The following is a 10,896-nucleotide window of genomic DNA, read 5'->3' as shown; positions in this document are numbered from 1 at the left end:
TGCCTTCCTTCCAAAGAGTGTGCAAAGAGAGAAAAAAAAGTAACTTCATAGTGAAGAAACCTAGCAAACACCTTCAGTCAGGTGATCAAGGTTAATATCCAGTGGTAAGTCATACTGACAGCATGTACCTTTGATACGAAAAATGGCAGTTTACCTCTGTGTGAACCCATAACCTTAGTCTAACGGTGTGAAAACCTCAGGACAATCCCAGCCAAGGAGCATTCTACAAAATACCTGACAGCATTCCTCAAATTTGTCAAGGTCATCAAAAACAAGGAAAATCTGATAAACTGTTAGAGCCGAGAGACTCCTAAGGAGACGCAACAACTAAATGAACTGTAGTGTTGTGGAAGTAATCTTGCAACAGGAAAATGACATGAGGTAAATACAAAGAACATCTGAGTAAAGTACAAACTTTCATTAAATATAATGTGTCAATATTGGCTTATTAATTGCAACAAATGCACCTTACTAATGTTAAGCTATTATTATTAGAGGAACGTGGTGTGTGTGTGTGTGTGTGTGTGTGTAGGGGGTTAATAGGAACTCTCTATTCTACTTTTGCAATTTTTTATAAATTTAAAGCTATTCTAAAACAGAAGGTTTACTTAAAACAAAAGCCAGTGTAGAGCAATATGCTTTGCATATTCGCTCTTGTATTTTTTAAAAGGAATAATAAGAGACAGAAAATAAACCTCTCTGGAAAAAATACGCAAAACTAGAAAGGAACTGAATACATAAGGCTTTTTACAGTATTCCCTTTTGTATATTCTGAATATTATTCTGTGGGGATATATTATCTATTGTGTAAAAGTTACATGTGAAAATTAATAAAGATCTCAATTAAAAAACCATCCCTTATACTGGCACAAAGAGAGAGGTAATGACCTCAGAGACTCCGTACAGACTCAGGGTTGTGAACCTAACTGTGGTACTCCAATCCAGTGGACTCTCACAGATGAGAGGGTAACTAGGAAGATGTGTCCATATGGCAGGTGCTTTACGCAAAAGAAAATCAGCACAGAGAGTAAGTTGTCAGAAAAGGTCACAGAGCTTCAGAGCTTTCATGAGATCAAGACATATAGGCCTGAGCATCTGGAGAAGGGAGTTGAGGGACCAGAGGGAAGGAGCAAGGTGAGATTTAAAACAACCAGACTACAGCCAGTGCAGCTGGTCCAGATGGTCCCTACCTGTTCAAGCTTCCTCAGGCTCCTGTCCCCAGGAAGGGATGTGATGAGAGTGTTAATTGAAAATAAGGACTTGGATGCAGAAAAAGAAAATGCCTCAAACCTTTGCTCAGTCCTTAACCCAGGGGGCTGTGAGAGGCATTAAGGGAGTTTCATGGGCTTCTTTTGTTTATTGTTTTATATGTACAGAAAGATTTCTATTCCTTTTGTATTACTATTCTTTCTGTTGAACTAGTTTTCCATTTTATGTGCTCCAGCCTAAGAAGCCCTAGTTTGGAGAATTCTGCAGACAGTCATATTCCTTTCACTATCCACACCGTATATTTGGGCCCTGATTAATTAAGTACTCAACTACATCTGTGCACTTTCCTGCATTGTTCTCTAGAGAAAGCAAAGTGTGAGTCTGGTGCCCTAGACATAATCAACAAACTCCTTGGGGAGGAAGCGTGTCTTGTACATCTCGTACATCCTGCAGCCAGCTCAGGGGTGGGTTAACAACTATTTCATTATTCTAGATCAACCTCTTCTCGGTCGGTTCCCCAACTTCTGTGTTAATGTTGTATCTTATAGCTGAGCAGAGCACACAATTTATTGTCCCCAAACAGGACATTGAAAATGAAAGTGTGATGGTATTAATAATACTGTAGGACATCAGGCATAAACTCGGATTGTCCTAGGACAAACCAGAATGTAGGTCGAGCCCATGTGTAACATTTACTGTGCCCAGGGGAGGAGTACAAAAGGAGGCCCATCTATCACGTCTAAATATGTAAAAGCTCTATAGGAAGCTAAGGAAGTATTAAATAAATATGTACTGTCCTCCTGCCACAATATGGTGGCTTGTGGTAAGCTGGCTGTAGTCCCAGCCTCCGGCCCCATGATCCTGGGTTACCCCCTCTCTTTTTCCTCCCCAGGCATCTTCCCACGTCATGGAGGGCCTGGCAGGCTCATGTGTAGACAAACTGGCTCACATTCCAAGCTCTGTTTTGGCTCCCCTGAAATAGCTGCTCCATGGCCACCCACTGAGTGGGAGGCAGGGTCCTTCCTTGGGAAAGGAATTTTGGGGTACCATGTACCCAGAATATAGTCTAGAAGGTGGAGCGCCAGCTCTGGATGGACATGACCCTATAATCTGGTAGGTTGCTCATGCTCTGGGGAAGGGCATGACCAGAGGAGGGCCAGAGTGGTACCTCCAGATTGTGGGACCCATCAGAGAACTCCTTTTGCCTGATGTTATGAACTTAGTGGTATCCCCCCAAAATCCATAGGTTGAAGCTATAATCCTCAAAGGGGTTATAATAAAAAATAGGGCCTTTAATGGGGTAATTTTAAAAAGTTAAATGAGGTCATAAGAATGGAGCCCTAATCCCATGGGACTGATGTCCTTACAGCAAGAGGAAAAGATACCAGAGATTCATACTCCCTCTCTCTCTTTTTCTCTCTCTACACATGTACAGAGAAAAGGCCATGTTAGGACATAGCCAGAGGTGGCTATTTATGAACCAAGGAGAGAGGTCAGCAGAACCTAACCCTGCTGATACCTTGATCCTGGGCTTCCTTCCAGCCTTCACAACTGTGAGAAAACACATTTCTGTTGTTTAAGGTCCCTTGTGTGTGGTGTTTTGTTATGGCTGCCTAAGGAAATTAATGCAACTGGGAATAAGTATGGTCCTGTGCATCGTCACGTTGATTTTAAATGGGCTCTGAGTGCCTTCCAAGTGTTATGAAACTGAGAGAAAGGGCCCTTGAAAAGGAAGGCATAGATCAAGAAAAGAAGGGTGAGAGGTAAAGAAAAAAGGCCATAGGTTCTGGAGCACAGTACATTGTCAGGAAGATTGGGGCCCATGGAGCCTCCTTCATTCATTCCTGCATTCATTTAACAAGCATGTGCTACATTCCCACTTGTGCCAGGCATTGTGCAGGGCAGTGGAAATGCAGTTTGAAGTATTAGGTTGCTGTTAAAAAAAAAATGGCAAGAACTGAAATTACCTTTGCACCAACCTAATAGAAAAGGCCTCTGCTCTGTATGGACCTGCTTTCTAGTGGGATTCACTGGGTGGTGCGGTCAGGATGGCCCAGTAAGTCCTACAGAGGTGGATGAGCAGTGTCCTTTTGGAAAAGCGTGCTGGTCCAGGATCCCTTAACCTCATTCCCCAAATGTTCATCTCAGAGGGTGACCCAAGGTCGCAGGAGGTCCCTTTGTTGCCTTGGTGATCACTTTTCCCTGGGCACCTGGGGCAGTTGGAGGAGGATGGGTGTGATAAGCCCTTCCAACATCTGAGCTCAGCTGGGCCCCAGATGTGTCTCCGGGTAAAGGAGTAGGACTGGGAGGTCACAGAGAGGTGAGCTCAGACAGGCTGTAATTCTTGGCTCTGGGTGTGAAAAGGTCGGTCAAGGCAGCAGCACCTCAGAGGGCAGGTGTGGGATTCCTGAAGGTCCTGAGGTGGGCATAGCCAGCTCCCAACCCCCTACCTGTCAGAAGGTCACTGGACTAGACATTTCCTGGACTCGCTGGCTACTTAATCCACCTGGGATCAGTTAGCCTTGATTTCCCACCAGCCTAAGAAGGGTGTTTCAGCACTTTCTTGCTTTATTTCAAAAGGAAACAAAGGAAAAATCGGGCTTTCCTCCTCCTCATCCCCCTCTTCACCTCCTCTCCAAACAGAAGTGGATCTAGTTTCTCAAGCTTAGCTCAGTATCTCACACATGGCATTATTCTGAGTCTGGATTTTTGGTACCATGTGGTTCTCAGGGCCTCCAAATAAAGTCAATCTGATTAGCACTGATCACCCAAATAATAAAAAAATTAGTACTTGTTTACTTTTTTAGGGAGGAATTCTCTTTATTTTCCCCCATCCCACATCTTTTTAATTGTCAGCTCTTTTAAAAATTATAAAAGTGCCAGTTGGCCATCTATCAGAACATGCCTCTGGGTTTTCATGGTGTGGAAATTAGAAGTAAAAAACCTAAATATTTTCAACTGCTGCTTCCAAGTGAGGGAACGGAAGAATAATATGTTCCACTCACACCTCAGCCATGAGACCAGCTTTCAGAGGTTCTGGATACTGCTTTGAAATCCTCTTTGAAAATTTTAATCAAGCAAATCTCCCAGTTAAAATGATACGGAAAAAAATTCAAAATACTAAAAGAAGAGTCAATCTTATATTTTACAGTCAACTTTGCCTGGAAGGATGAGTGGCAACCTATGATTCTGAATGGTGTGGTCATCACTTGTGTTCATTTTTATTCTGTCTGTCATCTGTCTGTTGTCCTCAATTCTTTGAGTTTATCAAGTAACAATCGCCTTCCAGTCTTAAAAGGATCAGTGTAAAAAGGGCTATGCAAATGAAGGAAATTCTGCTTCTGAAATGGAGGAAAAGATTGGTGTGAGTTAATATATCAACTTACTAGACTGAAAAGGCCTTTTCCACTTTTCTCAGGAGACTTTCACACTCCTGTGTCCATCACTGCACCCCCTATTTATGTCTGCTCCATGGGACCCACAAAGTCTTTCTCCTGCACGTTCTTGGAGAGTCTTAGGCCCCAACATTTAGCCTTCAATCTTCAAGTGGCCTCCATCCAAGATCCCCACCCTCATATCTGGTCCCCACCCAGTCCCTGGATCTAAAATTAGCCAATGTCCCTGTGTGCACCAGTCTGGTCTTTCTGGCTCTTCACTCACTCATTGGGTTGGGTTCTTGGCTGGTGATGCAGGAAGCCTTTGGGGCAGAAAAAGTGATCACACCAAACAGGCTTTAGTCCTTCCTCAGATTCCTAAGGAGGCCAGGCATGGCACAAATACCAAGTGACTAGAAATGACTGCTAGCAAGATAATGCCAGAACCAGCTTAGCTGGGGGATTCTGGCCCGGTGTCCCTTTCGAGCCCTTAAACGTTTAACTCCTGAAATTCCTCCCCCTCACAGAGCCCTCACGGAAGAACCAAAGGGAAAAAGAGAGTGTGGGACTCCTGTTCTTTAAATGTGCTTACTCTCAAAATATATGGCATGTATCATTGTTGGTTATCTACCCAGTTGGCAAGACTGACTACGTGCTACAAAGCACCAGGGTGAGCAGGATATAAACAAAAAATAGAAAACCTCATCTCTAATGAACTTTTGCAGAATTTTGCAATCAAAACATCTAGGGGGCAACAGTTTATTTTCCCTTTAGTAAAATTTGTAAGTCTAATCTTTTTAAGTTTAATGTTGTATTTATTTTTAATGTTACATCTTTTTTTTCATACCTAGGGTCTCTTAGTGTCTTACTCTAATGCAGTATATCACGAAAACAGCAGTGTCAAAGGTCCTTGCAAAACATGGACTAATACCTAGGTGTTTCAGTTGGTTGTGTGACCTTGGTTACATCATGTAACTTCTCTGGAACTTCATTTCTTTTTGTGTCAAATAAAAATCAGTCTCAACGTTTAAAATTCCTTTCAACTCTAAAGTCCATGATGCTATAATTTTGCAGCAATATGCATTCCTATACATGAACCAGCTGAGGTTTAGGAGTGATAGTCAACTGCTTCTTGCCATCATGGCTGGAAGTCTCAGGAGCCATCATGGCCCATAGGGCAGGGATAAAGCTTTGGCATGTGCCTTTGAATGGGTGCTCCTTTGGGATATGGCACACAATTCCATGGCTTTTAAGTGGGATGGGGAGTTCACCTTCCATGAAACAAAGAACTTTCTAGGGCCTGGATGCTTAATACAAACTTTAAACTCATAAGAGACTACCATGTTTCAATGAAAGAGGCTAATGGAAAACAGATGCTGGGCCCACATTTGCACAATCCTGGAATGCCCAGCTCCTTCTCAGATCACCCCTCTGCTCTGTCAGTCATTGAGAAAACCAAAAGGCCTTTCCTGGCCTCCTTTCCACACCCAATCTGCCCACCCCAAAGGAAATCCTGATCAGAGGCCCTGGGCCGTGACCTCCTGGGGAATGTAGTAAATCCCACCCAGCAGGTGATCTTTAAGGAACCTCCAGGCTTTGGTGCCTTGTGACTCCTGGGAAACCTGGGGTCTCTAGGACAGGCAGGTGATTTCCAGAGAATTTTCCACAGCTCTGTAAGCAACCTGAATGTCCCTCAGCCATCTGCTTTGCTTGGGGTGGAGAAGGTGAGCAGTCCACAGGAGATGCAAGCAAATGGAAGAGGCAGCTGTGACATTGTGTATGTGGTTGGGGAGGAGGAATATAAAGTTTCTGCAAATATTTCAAGAAGGCTCCTAAGAGGAGATGGGAGCCTGGAAGTATTTTAAAGGATGGGGAGGAAGGCAGCTTGGTAGCTTTGAGATTCAAGGGGAAGCTCTCCACAGGCAAAACCAAACTGATTAGATGCCTAAGTGCTAGAGGTTGTGAACTCTGTACTGCCTCCGTGGGTGGTCTCTCTGTTGTGCAAATTACCCATTGACCCCCGAGGAGAAAGCTGTGGGCTGTGCTGCCCAGGTTGTGGCTGCTGTTACTGCTTCCTTTAGCCCAGGGCAGGAGGCAGCCAAAGGCTCAGCCTCACAAGGAGACCAGACAGAGCTGAAGAGGAAGAGGTGGTGACAGACTCTCAGAGGGCTGTGTCAGGTCCAGCAAGGCAGGCGCGCTGTCCACAAGCCTCCATCCTCCTCCCAAAGACCCTCCAGAACCAGCACTTTTCCCGCCAGATGTTTTGAATCTCCTTCCCCTTCCTAATTGAAGACAGCTTTCCTTTCTGCTTGAGAGGGAACGGGAGGAACATGCTCTGCAGCCCTTTCCCTCCTCTCCTCCCCTCTCCTTCCTCTGGAGTGGGAAAGCTCTTCATTTCCAAGCAAAAGGTGGGGTTACATGGCTCATCCAGCCCCTTCCCAGCAGAAAGCAGTTCTCAGAAAGAAGCCAGCCCCTTTTTCCTGGTAGGAGGAATGTGGTCTACGTCTCCCCCACTTCACCTCTCTTCCCTATAGGCACTTACCTCAATACGATGGCAGCAAAGCCCCTTTCCACAGAGGAGCTGCATTTCCCAACAATCAGCAGGGAAGAATGCCTCAGTGCCCCAGATCAAACATCTTTCCCTGGAGAGCACTGTGGCCAGTTAGAGAAAGTATTCACGTTCCTCGCCAAACAGTACTGGGACCACCACATTAGGAATAATCATAATTTAACTCCAGTTAGTCCCAAGGGCAACAAATTAGCATCAGAAATCCTTTCAAGACTCACCAATGGATCTGCACTGCATTTGCCAGCCCTGGTGTTTCTGTCAATGGAGTTTGAAATGCTGTAATTCTGGGAATCATGAGGCAAAGTGAAAGACCCTTGCAGAGCACTGTGGAGTCGCACCCTTCCATCTCATCAGTAACCTACATTTTTCAGACCACCCAAGTCTGAGGGTAAAAATAGGATCTCAAGAGCAAACACAAAATTTCTTCAGGAAGATACACTTCTGTTCTATAGAAATGTAAGCTCTCTCTCGAATTTCATTCAAGTACAGTCCTGGGTTTCTGTCTCCCGTGGTGTCTCCTGGGTATCCTCAGAGGGTTTCTCACATGTGCTCTGCAAACTGCTCCTCTGGGCTGCCATGTGACATCTGCTGCATTTATCCCCTCCGGCCGTGGCACATTGGGGGTAATGACTCCCAGCCACTGCCGACACTGTGACTGGTGTCTGCTCAAGGCATTCAATTCCTGCCAGTGTCCACTGTCAACGTCGTTGATGTCAATGATGGGGCATCCTCATCAATTACTACAGAAGATGCTGGCACCAATTCTCCAGATGACCTGCATACTAATATCCCAGGCCTTTTTGTTTTTACTTTGCTCTCTTGCTGGCACCATAACTTTGTAGTGACCAACATCAAAAGTAAATAGAATCTTCCCTCTGCTCTAGAACCAGTGACTCCCTGATGCTAACCTCACTCTGGGTTCCTCATATAACTAAATGCCTGGCAGACTGACACCATCAGTTCTTCACAGATGTCACATCTCTTCTGAATCCTAGCATCCAGAGAGTTCAAATTCAAGCTGAAACTGATTTATAATTGCTATGATCTTGGTGGTTAAGAACTTGGGTTTGAATCCGGCTCCACCACTTATTATCTCTGAAACTTAGTTTCCTTATCTGTAAAATACAGATTTTATGAGGCTGTTTATGTTACAATAATTCCTATGTCACAGTTGTGTTAAAGGTAATGCATGCAATTTACTTAACCCCATTTTTAGATTACAGTCAGTAAATGTTGACTATTAAAATTATCACTACTTTATTTTTTTTCTTAAAGAAGAGGGAGCTGAGATCAAGAGGAGTGAGGTGACTTATCCAAGATCACATAGCCAGTGAGTGGCAAAGCCAAGACAACGTATCTCCTCCGGGCATCTGATTCAGACTTCAGCCCTGTTGAATAACAGTGTGTTCCCATTGCTCCACAGGTGAGCTTCCACTTGAATTGTATTCGCTTGGTAGTTTTTTAAAATTTAATATCATTGATGAGTCTCCAGCTGAGAGGACTTAGTGACAAATGTAATTGATTGATGAGTTTTTCCTGCATGCTGCACAGATCAAACCATTCACTGAGACCATGGTATTGCAGTAAAGAAAGAGTTTAATTAATACAAGACTGGCCATAGAGAAGAACTGGAGTTTATCACTCAAGTCAATCTCCCCAAGAGCTCAGAGGCTAGGCTTTTTATGGAAAATTTGGTGGGCAGGGAGCTAGGGAATGAGTGCTACTGATTGGTTAGGGATGAGATCACAGAAGTGCGAGGAAAACAGTCCTCATGTGCTGAGTCCACCTCTGGGTGGAGGCCATAGGACTGGTTGAGTCATGAGTCTGGGAGGCATCACTCAGTTGCCAGAATGCAAAAATCTGAAAAACAGCTCAAAAGACCAGCCTTAGGTTCTACAATAGTGATGTTATCCACAGGAGCAATTGAGGAAGTCACAACTCTGTGCCATTTGGCCACATAACTCCTGAGCAGTAAGGAAGTATAGAAATGATGCCTCCATTTGAGCAGGATTCAGGCCCTTTCCATAATCCTAATCTTGTGGCTTTTCATTAGTCTTACAAAGGTGGTTTCAGAACCCGAACAAGGAAGGGATCTGTTTTAGGGATAAAATAGTATCATCTTTGCTTCAAAGTTAAACTATAAACTAAATTCCTCCCATGGTTAGCTTGGCCTATGGCTAGGAATGAGCAAGGGAAGCCAGCCCATGAGGCTAGAAGCAAGATGGAGTTGGCCATGCTAGACTCCCTCTCATAATCTTTGCAAAGGCAGTTTCACAAACACAGCCAAAGCAAAAAAAAAAAGGCAAGAGATGATGAGAGTCAGACTGCAAATTTCAGCGAGGCAGTGGGAATTGTCCATTAGTTATTTGATGATGGCCAGTGTCTTCAGCTCCTTGTTTTAAGTAGCAAGTTAAAAGACAAAGCATGGGTGATTGTTTCTTTATTTAAAGAGGCCAAACTTAAAACCTACAAAGGGAAAAGGATTTTGACATATCCAGATCTTAGAGATGGAACTAGAACCTAGGTCTAATACCCATTTTAATGTGATCCAAATCTAGAATATTTTCCCAAGCTTCCAGAGTTAGCCCTTGAGAAGAGACACATTTTTCCACATCAGTCTCTTACAAGGTGGACTGGAAGAGCAACCCAGGCTTATCACGCTTCAAACCAAACACAGGATGCCACGGGGTAGCCAGGAAGCCTTCACTCTTCAATCCTTCTTACTGTTGAATCTTAAGTGCCAAAGCCTTGAGAGGAAAAACGTTCTTCAGCAGCTGGTTTTACCTTTTAATAAAATAGGTAGTTGATTTTGTGGTGGTAATTTAAGAGAGGCTGGTTAATTCTCTGTATTAGCTAGCTATTGCTGCATAACAAATTTCTCTAAAAATGAGTGGCTTAAAACAACAAACATTTATTATCTAAGTTTCTATGGGTCAGGATTTGAAAGCAGCTCTCAAATTCCAGTTGGGGGTAGTTCTGGCTTGGAGTTTTTTTTTGTTTGTTTGTTTGTTTTTTTTTTTTTTTTTTTTTTTTTAAATTAAAGTCAAGATGTCAGCTGAGACTTCAGTCATCTGAAGGCTTGACTGGGGCTGAGGGGTCTGCTTCCAAGATGGCTTCCTCAGATGGCCATAGGCAGGAGGCTGCTTCCTCAAGACATGGAAGCAAAGAGTCAGAAGAGATGCTGCTGTCCCCTGGAGGAGTTACTGAGAGAGAAATCGAGGAGGAAACTGTAATGCCTTTTATGACCTTGTCTCAGAAGCCACTCACTGTCATTTCTGCCACGTTCTAATCTTTAGGAGCAAGTTACTAAGTTCAGTTCACACTTAAAGAAAGGAGAATTAAGTTCCACCTCTTGAGAAAAGAAATACCAAAGAATTTGTGAACAACATATTAAAATTATCACCTGCTCCATCAACCTAACTTTTATTCATTTGTTAGAAATTACATCATTAGTGAACCCGAGAGCTAACAAAATAACTTATTTTCATATTCAACCAATTTAAATTTTTTAAATTTAAATTTATGTTAAATGTAAATGTATGTATAGCACTGACCAGGAGTCGGAGGCTCAGGATCTATTTTACACTTTGCTTCTGGCACAGCCTTGGGCATGCCACTTCTCTTTCTGGGCCTCAGTTTCCTCTTCTGTAAAATGAGGTGCCTGCCTTTTCAACAAATGGTCCTGGGAGAACTGGGTATCTACATGCAAAAGAATGAAGTTGGACCCTTACCTGCACCATGTAC

The 10,896-nt window shown here is 43.5% G+C and overlaps 1 annotated feature.

Annotated features, from left to right (window-relative positions):
- Nucleotides 6,215–6,843: an enhancer, noted in NCBI's record as "OCT4-NANOG hESC enhancer chr2:218134772-218135400 (GRCh37/hg19 assembly coordinates)". NCBI's record gives its function as "activates a minimal SCP1, AML or CMV promoter by ChIP-STARR-seq in naive and primed H9 embryonic stem cells {active_cell/tissue: H9 hESC(naive and primed)}" and the evidence as "EXISTENCE:reporter gene assay evidence [ECO:0000049][PMID:30033119]".

This window comes from Homo sapiens, chromosome 2 (assembly GCF_000001405.40).
Source record: "Homo sapiens chromosome 2, GRCh38.p14 Primary Assembly".
Lineage (NCBI taxonomy): Eukaryota > Metazoa > Chordata > Mammalia > Primates > Hominidae > Homo > Homo sapiens.
Note: the sequence above shows the minus strand (reverse complement) of the source record. Positions and strands in the feature narration are given on the sequence as shown.